Source organism: Homo sapiens, chromosome 2 (assembly GCF_000001405.40).
Source record: "Homo sapiens chromosome 2, GRCh38.p14 Primary Assembly".
In the NCBI taxonomy this organism is placed as follows: Eukaryota; Metazoa; Chordata; class Mammalia; order Primates; family Hominidae; genus Homo; species Homo sapiens.
In genome coordinates, this window is record NC_000002.12 from 36,482,534 (window position 1) to 36,504,097 (window position 21,564).

The 21,564-nt window shown below is 38.5% G+C and overlaps 1 protein-coding gene across 14 annotated transcripts in view; it reads left to right on the plus strand.

The window, feature by feature from the left end:
* Positions 1-21,564, plus strand: part of CRIM1 (cysteine rich transmembrane BMP regulator 1) — a 195,358-nt gene that overhangs the window by 126,756 nt on the left and 47,038 nt on the right. For all 14 annotated transcript variants that reach the window (XR_007076383.1, XM_011532898.4, XM_011532899.4 and 11 more), the window contains one exon: positions 16,686-16,814. Coding sequence is in view for 13 of the 14 variants with exons in the window: in XM_011532898.4 (XP_011531200.1) it covers positions 16,686-16,814 (129 nt within the window). In the remaining variant the exon portion in view is untranslated. The remainder of the gene's footprint in view (positions 1-16,685; positions 16,815-21,564) is intronic.

A 21,564-nucleotide genomic window follows, 5' to 3' on the forward strand; every position in this document is an offset into this window, starting at 1 on the left:
ATAATTTCAAATGATTTCAGAGTAGCAAAAGGATTGTATGAAATAAGAAAAAGTGCAAGGTGTTAATGTGCAATAAATAAGCAATCACCCAGAAATAGTTAGAGGAAAACCAGAAACACTGGTATTTACTTAGTTTATACACACAATAAATTCCTCTGTGCACAGTTGCGTAACCAGTGTTGGCCCTTACCCTATTAGCTACAGTCTCTAGGTACATCGTCAGAGTATGAAATTAGATGAAAGGACCCCACACAAGGATTGTGGTTTTAGATTCTAAGTAAACTAACAGCATCACTAAATATGGCGTGTTAGGACCTCCAGGGAGGAAGAACCTTATTGTGGCTGTTGTTACTGGAGACACATACCTTCCAAATGACAAGATAATGTGTCTTTTGGTTACTCCTGGAGGACTAGGGACATGAACCTGGGGGCCCTTAAAGACTAGGCTGTTACTTGACAGCTAACTTGATTCACAAGTACCTAAGTGCTTTTTAAATTGGCACTTAAGTACTCTCATGATGAATTCTTAGCAAGTTATTGTCAACACCCAATTCAGGTATACAGATAAGCCTTTCCAGTCTGTTAACTGATTATATTCTCACATTTTGCTTTGTTGACTTTTCTCTACATCTCTTGTTTATCGATCTCATTATTTTTATTTTCTGACCCCTGTGAAGAGCTAGGGTGGAAACGTGTGGAATAGCATATAAAGTTTTCAGTTGAATGGCATACATAGACGACACAGCCTTAATCTCCTTAAAAACTAAAAACAAAAAAGAGATTGGACGGCAGAATTAGGTCTTCATCTGCAGGGCCACTGTTATTTGTAACCCTTAATGACAGTGGCTAACATTTCATACAATTGTTATGTGTCAGGTTTAAGTGCTTTAAGAGGAGCAACTAATTTGAGATCCTCACAGCATCCCTTCGGTATGGGTGCTGTCATCCCAGTTTACCATCAGAGAACACAAAGTTCGGAGGCCATGTAATTTGCCCAGGGTCATACAGCTCATAAGTGACAGCACAGTGTGTCCCCAGGACCAGACCCTGGACCCTGAATGGACAGTGCCTCTGCGCTGCAGTGCATTATACCCTGAAAGAGGCTCCATCCCCCTGTAAAGAAAGAATTTGGCATATTCTTTTGAATCCCTAAAACAACATGTGATGTGTAAGTAGATGCTCAAAATTTTTAAATGAGTAAATAATAAGTGAGGACAGTGAGGAGGAAAGAAAGACTGGAGCAGGAAGTCCCAACCAGACCCTTCATACAGATCTTCTTTTTAGTTGAGTGAGGGAGCAGACCCTGATACAGGGTTACCTTAACCAGAGCGTCAAAAGCTGATGGCCATTGGGACCCCTGATCTACTAGTTGAAGGAAGAATAATGTCAGCATGCTTATCACTGAAAACACATTTTGAGAACATAAGTAAGAGTGTTATGGAAGTGTGTGACATGAGGTGGGCCTACATGTCTACAGGCCAGTTGGACCAGTTTCCTGCATTGACGGTTCACCCTTCTGATGGGCACTCAGCTCTGGGCTCCATCCCTGTGTCAGCCTCATGGGCCTTCCAAGACTGATGTGTATTCTGTGGTTTATTCTGTCCCAGTTCAGCCCCTGAAGTCCAGAATCACAGAGTTTAACTGGGGCTTCCCAGACCCTCTAAGGCTAATGCTTGCTGCCACGTTAATGTACTGTTTTTAAGACGCCTTGTGCATGGTGTAGGTGCCACTGCATTTCAGTTACTTACACGGGCAAGGATTTTTTTTACATTGTCATTAGATATTGAGAATTATTTGCTGATTTTTTTTTTCAATAATAGCAAGTATAAATGCTGCCAAAGCTGATTCTTAATGTCAGAGGGATCCTGAGGAGAGGTTGCCATTTCCATTAGAAATCTATTTTGTGATTGAAGGTAAGATAAGGTATCGGGGAGGGAAGTTTTGGCTACATGACATCTATAACATCCCCGTGATTACTCAATAAGAAAAATTCAAGAGATGTGGACAGGTGTGTGGCCAGCTTAGCTGTGACACCTGATGCAAGAGATTAGAGCTTCCTGGGGACTTTGAAGTCTTGATGTCAGACCTGATCTGCCTTCTCATCTTGGGCTGCGGCTGGACCCTGCCCAGGTGGCCACTGTGATCTGAGTGTTCTTCAGGCCTCCTTAGGTGCACCATCTCCTGCACGGAGGAGCTGATGATTTTGATGACCTTAGGGATTTTGAAGCCAACACCAGAGTATCACTTTTCAAGAACTAGGAACAACTTAGGTAATATTTTAAAAGGTAGCATTCAGAATTATACTCAGGTTGCCAGTAAAAAAATTCCGTGCTAGCGGTTGGGCAAATGGGTAGTTTCCCCTCTACTATTTCTGTCTGTCTGAAAACAAAGCAAAATCCATGTTCTATCTCTAACAGGAAGTCAAAGAGTTATTTGTAGATTGTTAAAGCTGGATGAGAGGTATATCAGAGTCCATAGTATTCAGTATTTTTTAAGTTTTCTTCTTAATAAAAAGTTAAAATTGCTATTTGCAGACATATTATCAGATACCCAGCTGAGTTTCAGGCCTAATAATTCTGCTAACCTGGACTTAACTCTTGAAGTAGAGGATAGAGGAATAAGAGATTCACTGTGCATGGATTCCTTCTAATTCTGGGTTTAGGATGGAATGTGGTTGAACCAAAAAATCCACTATCTTTCTTCCTGCCACCTGGCTTTCTTGGATCTCTTACTTAGGGAATCCTGGTCCTACTTGGGACAGTGTTGAAGACTGGATGTCAGGCACGTCTTGACCTATGTGGATTTAGTAAGCCACTTCAGTCTCAGCTCACCCAATACTGTAAGTTGTGCTCCTCTAAAAGGCTGGAGTTCTGTGAGCTGTCAAATATATTGTCGTCTTCTTCATCAATCCCAAATTTATGGAAGCACTATATTCTCTCCCTGAAGGCTGATGATATAGCTTGAATCAAGCTGCCCTTCTAATGAGATTTCCACTGGGCTGCCAGAAAAGTCTGTACCAGGCACATATCTGGGTGGGAATTCTTTGAAACAAGAAAAAATGTTTCCAGCCCTGCCCATAATGCTTCCTCACTGAACAGTATCTCAAATGATTAAGCTACTGCTTTTGTGGCACGGAGTCAAACATAGTTTGGCTGACCCCAAGAGGCAGTGAAGTCAAAGATGCCATAGGGTCACATGTTATTAACATTCTGGTACATAACAGGGATCAAAACTCAGTTTATGGGTGGTATTGCTTCAGTGCCATATACGATGCTATTATTAGTAAGCCAAGAATAATAAAATATTCGTAATAGCCTAAAGACTGTTAGGCATGTGTTTTATCCTTTAACTCTAAACGTCCTGGAAACTAGTTCCATAAATGGAAATTAAAATATAACACAGTCTATTTTTTGCTTGTCCAAATAAGGTCATATGTTGGGTAACAAATGCGTAGCAAATGACTGTTTCTTAACCTAGGTCTTTAACATAAACATCAGAAATTTTTCAATGTTGAATATTGTCATATTTTGATTTTTCTCTGATCATTTAAAATGTCTTTACATATTTGCAATAAAACTAGAATATAGGTAAAGTAAATGCAAAAGACACTCACATCCAGCCTTAATATATCACTTTCAAGATTTTGTGATTTTTCACAGCTATATAGAAATATGTACATTATATGAGTGGCTTTCTTTACATGTTAGATCCACCACTTACATTAATAGTTAAACAAGTGTAGAAATAAATGTTGTAGAAGTAGTTTAATAGAGAAGAAATGTTTATTCTTACTTATACCTAGGAGTTCTGCTGCTGGTTCTCCAAGTCCAGCATGTCTTTGCTTGTGTCGGTAATGCCTTGCTCTTTGTACTTGATTTTGAGTAAGACTGTCATACTGAACCAAGTTTTACGAGTAAAAATGAAGATTGGTCTTATACTCTTAATTTGCTAGATGACCAAACTGATCAATGCCTTAAATGTTCAGAATTGTTGAGAGCTAATTCTGAAACACATGATTAGAAATTCCTCTGCCCCTGAGTTTACAGAGCTCAGCTGTTAAGTATTTCCCTGTTGAAGTGGCGTGCAAGGGGGTGGGTTGCTCTTTATTTCCTCTGCTGTCTACTTCCCATACCTAAAAGGGTATTATTGCTGGGAGTCTCATAATTTTCCTACTAAGACAATAATTGCATCTAATAGATCAGACTTGGGCCTGCTAATTTTCATCTAATCAACAGAGGCAGGAAAACATAGTCTGGAATGCTAACTATGTGAATGAAAAATATTTAGTCATTCTTGAAATGATAGGAATGTTTTTCCAACAAGCTTAAATAAACACAATCTCTTTTGAGACTGTGCTAAACTTTTTTTGGATGAGACAACTCTTAGGCAACCAAACAGAAGTTAATGAAGGTTATTAAGAGACATGCCCTTCAGAAAAGGCCTGCAGACTTTAAAAAGAAAAGATTCCATCTTCTTTATGCTGCAACCATTGATAAATAGCAGAATTGGTTTACTTTTTAGCTTTTGTCTACCCAGTAGAATTTAACATTTTAATTAGTAATCATACTGCCCAATGTTCAACAGATACCATTTTACCTAACATGGCTATATGAGACCATCTTATTTTAAAATCCTCATCTTCATCTCCTACTGTTTGCCTCAGTTCCAAGGAATTCATTGGACTCAACACTCCTGTATTTATAGCACCTGATTACACTTTTCCTATGAAGCATGTTTGTTTATTCCCACCAACACAAGGTCCCGCCAGATAATAAAATTATTTTTAAACATACTAAAATGTACATATTCAAGTGAAGTGTTTTTCCTTTCACAAGTTATATGGGAAAAATGTATACTTACTCCAGGGATACAGTCATTCAGAATATTTTTGGTGCCTCTCTTTTGAAACTGACTTTAGAGATCATAGCACATCCTTTTGAATATCCTTAGCTTTGTAAACCCTTGACTTTGAAGGTTTATTAGACTCTAGGAAATAGCCAAAGTCATTTATGTTGAAGTCTGGTTTAAAAAAAAAAAAAAGGTGGCCGATCTAGCTGAGTAAAACTGTTTAGAGGAAGCAAAAAGTGACAGTAAAATAAAGGCACTTTGTCTTCTATGACATAGTAATTTGCTCTGAAAGCAACTATGAAGAGGTTTCAAACAGAATTTTAACATGAACAGCATTTTGGCATAAGAATATAGCCTCTAAAAGTGAGTACTTTTATCAATAACACTTATTTGTAAGTATAACTCCTGGTGTGTTTATAAAAAAAATCAATTCACCTACTACATAGTATTTTTATGACTTCTAGGGATTAGAGGCATGTATTTAAATGGTCATATACTGTATTACAACGTTTTTCTGAAATTGCAGGTGTTCTATTCCAACATTTTTTTCAAATACATTAGACTAAAATAATTTGCCTACAGAAACAGGTCAAAATAGGTTGCGATTCTAATATAATTTATTTTTAGTATTTTAGTTATCCAATTCCACTTCTAGTTATACCATACTGTTTCCTGGTATAGTCTTAAGTATATCCTATAAAAACAGAATGATTTCACATTGCTTAATATATGAGGGTTAGCACTGAAGATAGTGAAAAATCCAGTGAGTCACTGTTAAACCCCCATTAGAACTTTTCTGTGTTGTATCTATCTGATTATTGAAGATACAGTGTCACACAAGCATATAAACCATCTGTTGCAATACTATTTTAAAATCGTAGGACAGGTTCAAAGAGGGGAAATGTCCATTAAAGAACGCCTCTTGCGCATGTGTGGGTCTCCCCATCACAGGTGGCTGATGAGGTGGCAGGAGCAGCATCATACCCACCTATCAGCCTCTTAATTTGAGAGCCCCAAATACTCCCCTGCATGAGCTCCCAGAATGCAGATTGGGAAATCTGTTGCCAGGGGACTCAGCAAAGCCAGATCTTGGTCCAGGGGTCATACCATCAGTTTAATCTAAATTTGATGTGCTTTGAGCAATACGGGACATGTAACATGTTTCTGAAATTTGCCAGAAAGCATGCATTTTGTTTTATAAATATTTTGAGTTTAAGTTGATCAGCAGTTTGACCAAATTTTTATTTACCATTTATATCTACAGAATACCTGTTTACACCTCAGTGGAGTTTAACTTTCGCATCTGAGAGATTAGCTGGATTTATCTGGTTTGTTTGAAACAGCCTAGTTCAGGTATATGGACCATTTGAGATCACAGAATTTAATGCTAGCTGCCAGTAAAAAGATGCAGTCCCAGGCTCCAGCTCTTACTTTGCAGCAGCCTAGTGAAACACAACTAAGAATCCTCAAGATCCTAAGGCCAAGTACTTGATCCTTGTGGACCCTGCAAATCATGTAACTTTCACATTGGCTGCCGGAGCAAACCGAGAGTTGATTTGCAAGCCACCGCTCGACCAGCACCAGAACTCAAAGCATGCGTTCTGTGTGCTTACCTCATCCCTGACTGCAGCTTATTCTTTTCTAGCTAAAATTTACCTGGATCCCCATTTCCTTACTTTAAAAAAGTATTCATTCATGATATAATTTGAGACTGCCTTGGATCTATTACATAATCTAATGAGGTATATTTATGTGCTTCTTTATGTATAATCAGTGCCTACCATTTGCCCGTGCCTGTGCCTTTGTGCCTTGCATGGTGGTTGAACCCCCTTAGTTTGCCTATCAGTAGGAAGACAGGAGATCATGTTGTTTTTCACCTTAATGGACAGCTATTGCCCTGCATGTCAGCTCACTTTTAAAACAATTCAAGGAGTCTCTATTTGTTAGGGAAGCTGTAATATGTTTGGAGATAATAAGCTATCCACTTGGGATGGCCTCGGGCCTTGCATACGGAGAGGGTCGGCAAGCTCAGATCTTTTCAAAGCCATAAATCTCTCATCCTTTCTGGGAATCAAGTTTTTAAAAGATTCCATGGAGATTTTATGTTAGACGAATTCCACAGGGGGTGTGTCCCATAGTCCTGTGACAGAGATACTAAGAACATGACTCATTGCATGAGGAGCCCCTACAATTCTTGTTATGAAAGTACTGGTTGAATTTTCTCTTACTGTTGACATATGTTTGAGATCCCTGACTTCCTAACACTGAGATCTGCTCGTTAAAGACAGTTTTTAGAAATAGGTCTTCTGTGTCTTTCAACTTGAGAGTGGCAAGAAACACTGGCAAAGATAAAAAGTAGTATAAATGATTCTGTGATGAGTTTGCCCTTGTCCCTAAAGATCTAGCAAGGCCCCCATCATGAGAGAGGAAGAACAGGGGCCAGGCACACAGAGTCATTGTTTCGACCCACATTGGATTAGCTGATTACTAAGAGATTTCTGTTCTCTTGGAGACATCATAGACATAGTCAAAATGTAGAACAATGATATCAGACTGCTACTCAGCAAATGTGAAAGGCGTCACTGGCTGGTCACTAACGTGCTCCAAAGCTTACCAGACCATATGAAAAGATAGCACAGACCCACCCACCGTCTCAGATGCTTTTCACGTTATCAGTGGAGACAAAAAATGATGCTTAAGTTACAACAGGCAGGGTTCAGAATGCTGAACCAATTGCCATACTATTTATCAGCTGTGCATTTGAGGTCTGTGAAAGGGCTAAGAATTCATTAATTAGCCATTACCTGAGACCAGTTATAGCTCTGAGCAGACAAGATCAGCATGACATCAATAATTACAACAAGAAGTAATGTTGCTGTCACCCTTACAGTATAGTCTTTTCTTGACAAGCTTGTTTGAGCATTATTGGAATATTGTGAGGTAGAAATAATGAGTATTCCCATTTTCTGGAAGCCCAGAGAGGTCCATCATAACATGTTAGCCTAATGAGAGAGCAGGGACTCAAGCTATGTTTTCTGACTCCAAATCCATGACCTTGGCATTGCTTCCCAGTAGACCCCCATTGTGAGAAGACGGGATGAGAAAAATAAGATGATGAATGTCAAAGTACTTGATCATTGTGGCTTAGATTCAAAGGCCAGTCCACTCCTGGCTCCATCCCCATTGCTGAGACCCGGTTACTGTTATTCTGAACTCTGTGGCCCAGCCTTTGATCCCGGGTTCTTCTGATGAGCCTCTGACTGGAATTTTGACCTTGCTGTTTGACTTCTGGGAGAGCTGGATCCGTTTTCTGCTTCTACTTGTTTATTCCTGCATCCTCCCACCTAGGGACATTACTCAACCCAAGAGCCCCGACCCACTCTCCCATCCTGTCAGGCTTGACCTCTGCCCATTCTTGTGCATATCCATCCAAATTCTAGGCCCCAGGCCCTAACCATTGGCACTTAAGTCCCCACTGAGTAACTGAGCTGCTCAGCCTCCATCAGTCTGCCAGGCACCAGGATACCATCATCAGCACGTGTGCATTCTGCTATGCACTCTTCCTTTTCTTTCTCTGATTCTTGTCAGTCTCTAATTAAGCCGGTTGTCAATTTGCCAAGCAGTCAGCAAAAGTGCCCATAACTTCACGCAGTAGAAGATGAGCTCCTGAGTTGAATGACTGCCTAGCTGTTTTCAGGATTATTTTAATAACACTTTTTATTTGGCATTATCAAGGAGTAGGGTAGTTCCAGAAGTGAATTCTCCAGATAATTAAAATTTGGGATGTCAGATCTTACATTAAGAATTTTATAGGAGGCCTTCTATAATGCTTTGTGTACTTTTCTGCCTTCTTAAGCCAAAGATACAGATCATATGATCGTATTTTAACCCATCTCAGGAAACCGAGTGTCATCACTGAGTAATCTCATTTTGGACGGCTTGGATTTGGGGATTTGCACTCCATTTTCACCATTATTAAGTGTGTCAGGTTTACAACAGCCTTAAGATCTGGCTTTCTGCTTCAGTGGAGCTCATTTATTGTGTACCTCCTATGTGCAAAAGACTGCCACAGTGGTGTGGACCCTAAGGAACTTACTGTCTAATCTTCTAAAAGTTAGAAAATTAGAGATACAGCCTCTTAGGACAATTTTGAATGGGAGCTCTTCTTTGCCAAATAATGTTACACTGACTTTAGGTGCTTAGATGTCTTTCGTTTTCCCGTTTTGTTCATTCATTGAGCAGTTCTATAGACCAAACTGTACTAGGTGCTGAGGTTATAAACAATGAATGAAGTATTGTCCCTAACGTGCAGACCCTTCCTCCCTGGTTTTCAACCATTTGCCAGAAGGGTAGGTTCCAGTTACCAAAAGTCTGACCGCCTGACCCATCCTCCAAGTTGAAAATAGCTACTTAAATGTGCACACACACAAACCCGCATACCTATTAATGTAACACATTATTTCCACTTAAAGCTACCAAAATATAATTCCTATGAACATTAGCAATAAAAAGAATAAGAATAAAATGTAAGACAAGTATAAAAGATCTAGATTCTTAGAATCCAGTGATAATTTTGTGAGCTATCTCAAGCTGGATTCCTGGAAAAAGATACCCCACTCTATAAAAAAAAATTTTAATTTGTCTTTTGTGGTCTTTTAATAATCTCAATAATGCTACCATCTTTTCCTATTAAATATGTTTTTGGTAAAGGAAGAAAAATATTAATATGTCTAACAGCCAAGATTCCTTGGGAAAAGCATACAAAATTAATAAATAGGTCTAAAATAAATACATGGTTGCTTCCTTTTCCGATCACAAAATAATACAAATCTTGGGAACATTTGCACACTGTTCATTTTAAAATAAAATAAACTGCTCTGAGATAAGTACTTCAGAAATTACAAGGATGTAGGTGTTGTTATGAGAAGTGTACAAAGGGAAAAAGGATAACCAAATGTGTAGCGGCTAAAAGAATTTGAAAACTCCAACCGTAAGAGACTTTTTTCCATGACTTAATGAGGCTTTCTTAAGTACACATTCAGATGCTACGGAAATTCCCACTTCCAGATTAGGGAATTTTTGTATCTTCAATTTTTTTTTTTTCTTATTGTCTGCTTTAGTAGAGTTTTCCCTCTAGCTTCATTTGGGAAAATTTCATCTTCACTGTACTTTCCTTCCCAAGATGCAATTATGTTGACAATTTAGTGATTTATTTGAAAGGTGTTCTGACCAGTTATGGGTCACATTTGAAAAGCATCTGTGTTAACAGCTTGACATATGAAAATACAGCAAAACAGACAAGCTTTGATGCTGTCTTGGCCAGCCTTATCTCCAGTTTTATGGCCCTGGCTAGGAGACCTGATATATTTAGCCATTGAACTGCCATGTCAAGTCAGTGACATTTTGGAATTTTCCTACTCATTGGATATTCACGTTGCTTAACCACGTTCAGCCCCCTCCAACCCCCCAATCCCTGCCCAAAATAGAAAAATAAAACTACCTTAAGAAAGAGCGCCTGAAGTAAGTCTGAAAAGAAAGCATAATTGTTCATTTTTGTCTCTCATAATCAAATAAGCAGGCTTGGGAATTTACAAAGAAGAGCTATGTAAAATCTGCAAAGCATTATTAAAGCCTGAAAGAAGAGGTAATAAGAGAAACGAGAGACAGATAGGAATTGTTAGCTTCATTTATCTTAATACTTCCACCTGAGTATTTTTTCACTTGTAAAGAAATGTAAGAATGTGTGTGTCTTTAAAAAGTACTTTTTCTGTAATCCCAGCACTTTAGGAGGCTGAGGTAGGAAGATTGCTTGAGGTCAGGAGTTCGAGACCAGACTGGGCAACATAGTGAGACCTCATCTCGAAAGAAGAAGAAGAAAAATAAATAAAAAGGAAAAAAAAAAGCATTGTTTTCTAGAAATTTGCCTACAAAGAGGTTTTTCCAGAAAGACTTTTCTTAGTGTGTGGGTGTGTGTGCATATGAATGCATAGGAACAGAGGGTGCTGGCAGACAGCTGCTTTCCACAGCCAGGCCTGCAGTTTACCAGAGGACAGCACAGTGAGGCAGCAGTCCTAGAGACCATCAGAATCTGGAAACAGAGTTAATTACCCTCCTGACAAGACAGTACTACACACAGACCCAACAGGGATGGCTGTGTATGCCTTCCACAGTTGTACATTTACAGAGTCACCCACCCATACTCAAGAACTGCTAATTGGTTGTCAGCTTTCCCAGGGCTGCTAATCAGAAAGAGTGCTTCACACATTTCTCAAAGGAGATAATTAATATTATTTCTGAGGGAGAACCAGCTCATAGTAATCTATCTAAGAACCTTGTATGGATTAATTCAAAACCAGCAGTTCAGTGGAGTAATACAGATTAGACAGCAATTTAAAAGCATCCATTAATATTGTCATTTAGGCTACATATACCTGAAATATAAAAATTATTGTATTGTTTCAGAAGTGAATATATATAATTATACATTTAAAAATAACTGAGGATCAAAGTATGTTCATTTTTATTGTTCTCCCAGAGTTGTTGAACTATATAATGTGAGGGTAAGACTGATCTACAAACTTTATACCAGCATCTTAAAAGGCTGAATTTGAGTTTCAGCTTCTTACTTCCTTGGCCAGTTTTTGGAGAATTTCTCATAAAATAAACTAACAAAAGGCAAGAAAGTAGAGAGCTTAGATTTGTTTGCTTAACACATTTATAACACCTGAATAACCGAATATGTATTTATGGTTTAGTACCGTGGCCTTGAAGTTAGATTCATGATTTTCATTTTAACTTTATATTTTTAATCAAATTAATTGTGATCCCAGTAGCTTAATTTCGCCATTGAGTAGATAAAATTGCTCCTAGGAAATATGTGAGCATCAATATAAAATACCGATGGTGTTTTTCAATAACAGTGTCTGAAGCTCTCTAATTTGTAAAAAATACTAACATTTTCCTGGAAATAATTTTACTGACAAGACATCTGTTAGGCTTTTTAGGTTATGAAAGAAGTAACCCTAAATTTTTAATAAATGTAAAATAAAGAATCAACATGTGTTTGTGTATGTTATTGCACGTTAGAAGATATTTTCTTTCAAAATTTTGTTTTCTAAGACTTGGGATAAGAATTGGTGGCTGAGCATCTGCACTCCTGACACAATCCCAAGGGTTCTTTAAAAATAGCTCTTCTGGACAGTGTAAGGTGCTTGGAGGGTCTCTAAAAATCGTTCAAGAAAACAACAGGTAGAGGAGAGGAAAGTTTCCCACTCAGATGCTGAGTAGAAAACAGCAAACCAATGTAGACATAACAAACACCCATTTTTGTTCTTTATTGCTTCTAGGCTCAGAATATTTTAGAATTCTTCTCCACAAGGAAGCTGTTGGAGGGTTCCCTTTAGAAATAGTTGTAGCCAAAGACAGTGAATTCCTGCTGTTTCAAGCCTTCTTCCTTTGGAGGACATTAAGGTATTTCTTTGATTCCTCAGCTGATTCAATACAAGATGAGATAGAATTTCAAGGTGATCCTATAAACAGTACTTCACTGAATTTCCCCTCTCCAAAACCCCACCTCTGTGCAAGGATTTCCTCATTCTCCTAAATGAGGAAATCTAAGAACATTTCTCTCCTTTGAAAGAGGCCTACTAACACATTTCTACCAAGCTAGTTTAACGGGGGACAGTTTTCTTTGCTCCAAGCAGCAAGTATCATGTACAGGGATGCATCAGTGCCGCCAGAAATCTTAGCAGGACCTCTGTTCAATTGAACTTTGTTTACGAAACACGCCAAAGATAGGGGATCACCATCATCCTAGAAAGGCTTGTATTCTCCGACACACAGTTTCAGTGCCATACCCCCTGTAACATAGGAGCACAGAAATGTAGGATTTAAATGAGAATCTTCTGGTCTTCAGACCAAAATCCGACAGGCAATTTCCGTATTCAAAGCACTGTTGCATAGACTAGAGAAAAGTCTGGGATAATAACAATTCCTGATGAGCAAATTTCAGAATGCTCTAACTTTTAGACAAGCAGAATGTATATTTCACATACTTTGCTCACACTCCCTCAAGCCTCTTTATTTATTTATTTATTTTTTTTTTTTTTTTTTTTTGGATGAGAAACAGTCATACTGAGATACTATGATTCTAGATTCTTTAAAATCACCTCTTCTCCCACCAGGAACTCTCTTGGATAAAAGCTATGTTAAGAATCTGACCAGCTCTTGGTCATTATTCTTTAAGAACTATAAATATAATATTGATTTGAAATGCTTTAATTGAGAACAGTGTCAAATATGTCTCACTTTGGAGCTAATTATTTAGCATAAGAAATTGAATCTCAGTTGTCTCATGGCACTTGTTTCCAAAAAATTGCCCTGACATTAGTAATAGGATCAGTTCTGAGATTATATAATAATATGTTGGACTGGAAGCAAACTCTCAAATATGTTTAACAATAATGTGAGATTTTTTTCTAGATAATTCATAAATAGGTAGATAGTCTATATACTTACCGGTCATATTTTTGTCGTAATGTTGTTCTCATGGAAATCTAACTACTCTGGCTATGGTCTCACATGATAGGAAACCAAGCACTAAAATGTTGGGAGAATGACGAAAGGCAGTACACTATAATGGATGACTTCAATTGAAATGCCAGGAGACAACTAGTTGCCTGCAAATGTGTACAACTCAACAGTTACTCCAATTACATAGGGTATTAGCAGTAAGGACCCAAGACACATGTGTTACCACCCGGAAAAAAACTTTAAAATTTGTTCCAGTTTGTGTCTGAGTAGGAAAATGAGATGTATTTGTTAAATGTAATAAAATGAGATGCCAAGTGTTAAAATGTCTTCTTAAGAAAACCTAGATTTCTAGCTATATTTAACATATCACAATGACTATTGTTGTGTTCACCCTAATCTATTGAGGGGAAATTGAATAGTTCTAATGTAAATTGAAAGTTTTCATGAATAAAAGATTTTGTTGTGTTTTTCTGTGTTTAATGTTAAATATTGAGGGTATAAAAATTTGAAATGGCTGTACTTCCCTGTTTCTTTCATCTAATATAGGTCATAAGTGAATGGGAAAATACTAATTTCAGAGGCACAAAATGATTTTTTGCTTCTTGCATGCTACAGCGTTGAGGCTTGGAAGGTATCCCATGGGACTTGTTTTACCTGAAATATTTAACACACACATTGTAAGACCAGCACATACTGAACGGCCCTTTATGCAATTTTATTTGTTCAAGTGAACAAAACCTGTTATGCTGAATATTTTAGGAAAACATATTGAACATATTTCCTCTCCTGGAGAAATGTGTGTTAGATGTACATCTGTGACTGTGTACCTAACTGTTGAAGCCATTTGGATAGATTGGCTTCTGTGACTGATACGGGGCTGCCCAAGTCAGCATTGTGGTTCTGATCCTCAAATAACCCAGTCCATTTGTTCCTTTCACTTTCTAGCCACAGATCACAACCTTAATCGCATGTTAATCTAATATATTTTTTAAAAAACAGCACATACATCACTATTGAGAGCAAATATCATTTAGAGGTAGAAGATCATCTTTGTAAAAGTTGGACGATGGATTCTCTAAGCAAATCCCTAAAATTCACTGCTGCTAAAATTCCATACTACCCTATGATATGATGATTATACATTTTTCAAGGTCAGTTTAATCTTCAGTATATACTTTTCCATAGTATGTTTTCTGAAGGCAAAATTTTCTCATAAATTTCACATATTAAATGTCAGTAAAGAATAGAAGATTTTGGTATGTGTAGATATGCTTAAGACATTTCTTTACCCATAAGCTGTCCAGGAAAGCAGTGTGCCTAGAGTTCAGAATTCTTCCCTCAACTTTGGCCTAATCGCTCTAGAACATAGAAGTCCTTTCTCACTGGGATAACCTGTGGTGGGTTTACTTAAACCTGATACTTGCCTTCTACGCTCTCTCATATTTGTGGTTAGAGTAATTTTGACAAAACATTGGCAGTCTTGGGACTGAAGACTGGAATAGAATCATTATTTGGGGTAGCTAAGAAAAGTAGTGATAAAAGAAAGACTAATAGGTTTGAGAACTAAAGATGTTTGCAGTAAATTTTAAGAGAATGGAGGGGAGCAGCAATACGCTAACTCAGGATGTCTTAAAACAACTAAACTTTAGTTATTTTTTGATGTTTACAGTTATCTGTCAGGAAGAATACCTTGGTTATTGAAGGAAATTAGAAACTACATCAGTGAAAAGTTTATATAAAAATTTTAGTAAGATGCTGTTCTTTGTAATAAGAATAGAGAATGTGCTATACTCACTTGATACATATTTTTACTGGGAGAATGCTGATCTAAGCATCTCTTTAGTAAGTCATCGTTGCCTGCTACCTGTGAAGAGTTGAATCACTGTCCCCTTTTAGTAGATGGATAAAAATTTAGAACTCTTGATCTCAGCAGTGGCAGCTAAAACACTTATTTTGATCTCTCTTCCCTGGTAACAGGAGATGAAACTTGAGAAAACAGTGTGGACTAATGGATAGAGTGTTGGACAGGAGGTTGGGAACCTCTGTTCTGTTCTATTCCCAGCCTGCTACTGGGTTACTATGTAAACTTAGATAAGCCAGTTACCCTCTCTGCACCTCATATTTTCCATCTGCGAAAATGTAGGTAGAGACATTCTATACTCAGCTCTTTCACAAAGATATTGTGAGCAACAGCTTACTTTGAAGACGTTAGTATATTTTTGTTGAAAAGATGTTGCATAAGTATGTCAGTGCCTCTGTTCCCTTTGGCAACACCGTTCCCACAACCTGGCATTATATAAACTGTCCCTTATTGATGCATTGAGAAACAGGTACCATTACAGCAGATTTTGTGTTGCACAGAAGCTGAGAGTGTGACTGGAGTCAGACTGCCTGGGTTTGAATCTTGGGTCCACCACAAACTAATGCTGTAACCATGGGCAGGTCAGTGTGCTAGATTTCCTCATCTGTAAATTGAGGATAATAATAGCACCCACCTCATTGGAATATGGTAAAGCTGGAAGGCATTTATGAACAGCACTTTAAACCTTATATAAATACATAATATGCTTTATGTAAGTATATGTAGTTACCGTTATTACCCAAAGCAATTCTTCATTAATATGGTAAAGCGTCACCTCTGGTCTTGCTTTGTTTAGTGCCCTTATTCCCAGCATGGCTGCTCACTCTTTGTCCTGAATGTGTGTATCTCCCTCTGCTCCCACAAGTCTCTGGGCCCTGAGGATAAGTGTGTAGTTATCTGTCGTATCATCTACCATAAGTGAGGGAGTGCCACATAAAAGATAAAAGAAATCCAGGTGTTTTAAGCTAGTCTCAAAAACTGATTTATTAATTTGGAAAAAAAATAGTAACCGATTTCAGAAGTATTACAGAATGGGACTGAGATAATTGATAGTTGACAGCTGTATCCTGATTATTATAAAAAATAAACCGGAAAACATCAGGAAGAAATAGAAGAGCAGTTAACAATTTAAACAGAGTTCATGTTAACCTCTCTCGTCTGCTTCCAGTAGTGGTGACCATCAGAGAAGAATTGTGTGAAGGTACCAAAAACTGCATGAATTGCTCAAACGCAAAGAAGCAGAGTGTTCACATTTTCAAAAATCTGAACACAAATATATCTGTTTCAGGGGTTAAAGATATTACTGGAGCATAAAAGTTTACGATTTGATGACAATTACTGATTTGATTTTTGTAACATTATGGTGTGGAATTTCAAAAATTGAATAGCATCTAAAAGGTAATCATATGTTTCATTGGTTATTTTTTTCTCTATTTATTATTAGAACCAACCATCATCACAGTTGATCCACCTGCATGTGGGGAGTTATCAAACTGCACTCTGACAGGGAAGGACTGCATTAATGGTTTCAAACGCGATCACAATGGTTGTCGGACCTGTCAGTGCATAAACAGTGAGTAGACAGAAGACTGTATGTTTTTTCTGAGGCCTAATATGATATTGTCAAAGCATATTATGTAATTGAATATCTTTTTCACTTCTGTTCAGACATTCCCTTGACAACCTGAAAAAAAGGGGAAAAAAGTTATTTTTAACACAAACAAATACATAGTCATTTGGGAGAAAGGAGCTGCTGCTTTATTGTGTTTTTTTCTCTGTTTCCTTGATGGCCAGTTGCATCAGGAGTGCAACCTGGAGTGGCTTTGGAGTGCATCCTTCCAGCCACCCAGAACGCTCTCCCTTTAGTACACTTGCCAGGTCATCCAGTGACAAGGAGGTCACCCACGCATACAGTGTCACATTCCGCATATGACAGCCATAATCCTTAGACTGTGCTTCACTTTGTTGACCCCAGCTTTGCCTCCATGCAGATTCCAATCATGTATCCAGGCCCTGCCCTCTAGAGTATAGAAGAGTATATTGTATTTCTTCCAGAAAAAAATAAAATAATACACACACACCCCACCCCCATATATGTTAAAACCATTTCGAATTCCCCTAATTCTTCTGCCGGAATAAACATCCTCATTCTCCTTGACCATTCTTCAGGTGACAGTTCCTAGAACTTTGTTGATCTTTACCATCATTTGACACACAATATGTCATTGTCTTTACATAAAATATGGCCCACAATCAAGATACTCCAGAATGGGCAGGCATGGTGGCTCACGCTTATAATTTCAGCACTCTGGGAGGCTAAGGCAGGCAGATCACTGGAGCTCAGGAGTTCAAGACCAGCCTGGACGACATGGCGAGATCCCAGCCTCTACCAAAAATACAAAAAAAAATAGCTAAGCATGGTGGTATGCGCCAGTGGTCCCAGCTACTCGGGAGGCTGAGGTGGGAGGATCGCTTGAGCCTGGTGGGGCAAAGGTCACAGTGAGCTGAGAGCGCATTACTGCACTCCAGCCTGGATGACAGCAAAAGACACTGTCTCAGAAAAAGGTACTCCACAATTTGGTCTGCTGAATACAGTGCTACTGTGTGGCCTAAGTTTGCATTAGCTCCTTGAATTGCACTTCGTTGGCTGATATTGAGGTTATAAGTAGCTAAAAACACTAGGAACTTTTTTACATCACCTGCTGTTAGGTGGTTCTCATCTGTTCTGTAATAGAACGTTTGATTTTTTTTTTAAACGATATAAATACCCGGCCAAATATAACAAGAAATTATCCGAATCATTTTAAACCATTTTCTAACTAGTTGGGATATTTTTGAATCTCAATAATGTGATCTTATACTTTATGCCTCCCAGCTTATATTAAATAAGCACAACTTATATATCCTTATCTAAATCACTGAATTAAAATAAACTGCACAGAACCAAGGACAAAGACCTGCAGAATGATGCTGAACATAGCTGCTTACAGTAGTCCTAAGCATTTATACCTTGAGTAGAGTTATTTAGCTGACAACATATATCTCCACAAGAAATCTTGAAAGACACTTCGCCCGTATCTTGTCTGAAGTCAAAATATATTGCAAAATACATCAGAGCATTCCTTTGCTGGAAACCCTATTTTTAAAATGAGCTGAAGTTATAGGGGCCTGGCTTATTTTTCCAGAATCTGTACTGGCTCCTGGTAGTCAGTGCTTTATTCCCCTAAATGTCACAAATCATATATTTAACAATTATTTCTGAAGAATTTTCAGTTGTGAATGTCAATTTATGTAGTTTTTAGAACACTTTGTCCCTTTTGAATTGACATTTGGCCTATTTTCTTAAATCTCTTTCCATTCTCTTCGATCTCTCTCACACACAGTACTGGTTCTGTAATAAGCGGGCTTTCTGTGGGCCTGTGGTTGTAATTACCATGGCTCAGAGACTTGGACTTAACGTAGACAGATGCTCACTTTCTGATTTATCAGTTATCTCAGGCTTTAACATACCACTTAACCTTAATTATTTGTCACTATTTTAAAAATATTTTTGAAGAAGATACAAAATAGGAGTTAAGCCATTCTGCTTCCTCAGTTACATGTGACCATCACACTATCTACAGTGGCGTTAGTGCTAAAACTGAGTTTATAAAACGCCTGTTGGCCAGGCGTGGTGGCTCACACCTATAATCCCAGCACTTTGGGAGGCTAAGGTGGATGGATTGCTTGACCTCAGGAGTTCGAAACCAGCCTGGGCAACATGGCAAAACCCCATCTCTACAAAAAAAAATACAAAAGCTAGCCAGGCATGATAGCAAGGGCCTGTAGTTCCAGCTACTCAAGAGTCTAAGGTGGGGCGATCTCTTGAGCTCGGGAAGTCGAGGCCGCAGCTAGCTGTGATTGTGCCACTGCACTCCAGCCTGGGTGACAGAGCAAGACCCTTTTTCAAAAAACTAACAAACAAAAAAAAAACTCTTGTTGAGCTTGTAGTTACTACCATCTTTAAATTTCCTATAAGCCTCTACCCATTTGGGGGTATTCTGACTTCCTACACTTGATTCTGTTCGGGGAAGGGTCAGTCCCTGTTGCCTTTTATACCTCCCTTTAGAAAGCCAAGTTCACTAGAGTTGCCTTGGCAGCCCAAGTTTTCTCAAATGGCCAACCTTGTTTTTTGAACAAGATAATTAGTAATTGTCATGAAGTGTTTATATTTTAATCCTTCTAATGCCTCTTACATTAAGAAAGCTACATCTTTCTTAACATGGGATCATATATATTAATACATTTTTTCTGAGTTTCTAAAAAGTCTAAAAATACAGATTTCATTGTGTCCAGTCACCTCACCTACACTTGCGCCTGGGTTTTGCTATTGTGAAATCTTGGCCACCCGGTCATGCTTATCTAAGACTTCGGTCACTTCACACGGAATCTTTCATCATTAAGTTCAAAGAAGCAGTTTCCCTCAACTGCCTTTGAAGGAAGAGTCAAAATATGTCCCTTGGCAAATAGTCACTGGCAAATAGTCATTTGGCAAGTTGAGACTATAAGGAGGATGCATATTTACCCTATCTTTAGGTTAGTGTTTTGTTTGGCATTTTAAAAGGATCATCAGCATGTGCTACCTGAGTGCACCTCTGTTTCATTCACACTTAGGAAGAAATAGGTACAGGAGGAGACCATTGCATTTTGTATCAATAAATTTATTATTTGCAAATTGTACCCATTTATACAGATAGCTGGCCTTCCTTCCTTCCTTTTTTCACCTAATATAAACAGAGCACCTGCCACATTCTAGGTAGTATTCTAGGTATTAAGGCCACAAAGATGACTAAAATGCAAGACCTTCCCTAAGGAAAAAAGTCTTCTGTAGCATAAACACTCATGAAATATCACTACTTTAAGCCAAAAGCTATAACGTACAAATGTAAATTATTTTAAGAGGAAGCTTTGGTCCTTCAGCAGAACCCAGGCTTATGTTCACACCAGAGTAGAGAAAGAACTGCCCGTCTCCCAGGGCTCTACTTGGTGCTCAGCAGATACTGGCTGAGTGAATAAAAAGGAAACCTTCAGGATCAGAGATGCCTTTGGATATCATTCTTGCCTGAGATCTCCCTTTGAGGTCTTGCTATTCTAATAATATATCCATCTTATTTTGGATTCTTCTTAAAGTTAGTCTTGTCATCTCGCTCACTGCCCCACTGTATACCTAAAGACTTACTTCAACACTGATTGGAATTTTTCAGGTTGTCCTATACAGAAGTCTAGACATACAGCATTCTGCTGTCACCTCCCCCATTCGTATTAGCAATCCAGGTTATTTGGCAACTTTGGAAGCCACACCTTTGGGATGTCAGTCAAATCAAACCAAATTTCCAGGTCCTGGGTTTTGTCAGATTCTTGCGATCGTATGCAACTCTCCTCTCAGGCTCTGCACAGCAGCTTTTGTGTTGCACAGAAGCTGAGAGTGTGACTGGAGTCAGACTGCCTGGGTTTGAATCTTGGGTCCACCACAAATTATGCTGACTTCCACATGGGTAATAAAGGCAAGTTGCTTTACTTCTTTGGGACTCTGTGTCCACATATGTAAAGGGCAAATAATAGTACCTAACTAATGGGTTATTTTGAGGACTAAATAAATGAATGAATGCAAAGCTAACTCTGGCTGGCATATGGCCGTTGCTTACTCTGCACTGTAACTATTTTATAGCATCTTCTTCTGAGTCGGCCCAAGCTAGCCAACATGGAAAGCCCCCAGCGTCCCCGCCCCCCTTTGTTCCCACCCCATCAGCCTGCCTCCAGTTCTTCCTGCCCTCTAAGGACACTCACACCAACAGCTTTCCTTTTACTTTTTCATTTCATTGTAACCCTCAAATATTATCTTTCTCCTCCTTGGTTTTAGAGAAGGGAGTTTCTTATAGCCAACTATGGAATAATAGGTTGTTTTTTTTCTATTGCAGCTGCTTTATATAGGTATTTATTTTGTCCCAAATTCACCCTTACATTATTTTTCTGCATCCCATCAAAACCTTTTTCACATACAGTAGTCCTAAGCATTTATACCTGTTTTCTCTTAAGGATTAGGCCTAGTTTCCATTAGCTTCTAGATTTTTTTTTTATACAGGGTCTTGCTTTGTTACCCAGATTGGAATTCAGTGGTGCAAACACAGCTCACTGCAGCCTCAACCTCCCAGGCTCAAGCGATCCTCCCACCTGAGCCTCCCAAGTAACTGGGACTACAGGCACTGCCACCACACCCAGCTCATTTTTTTTGTATTTTTTTGTAGAGACAAGGTTTTGCCACATTGTCCAGGCAGGTCACGAAC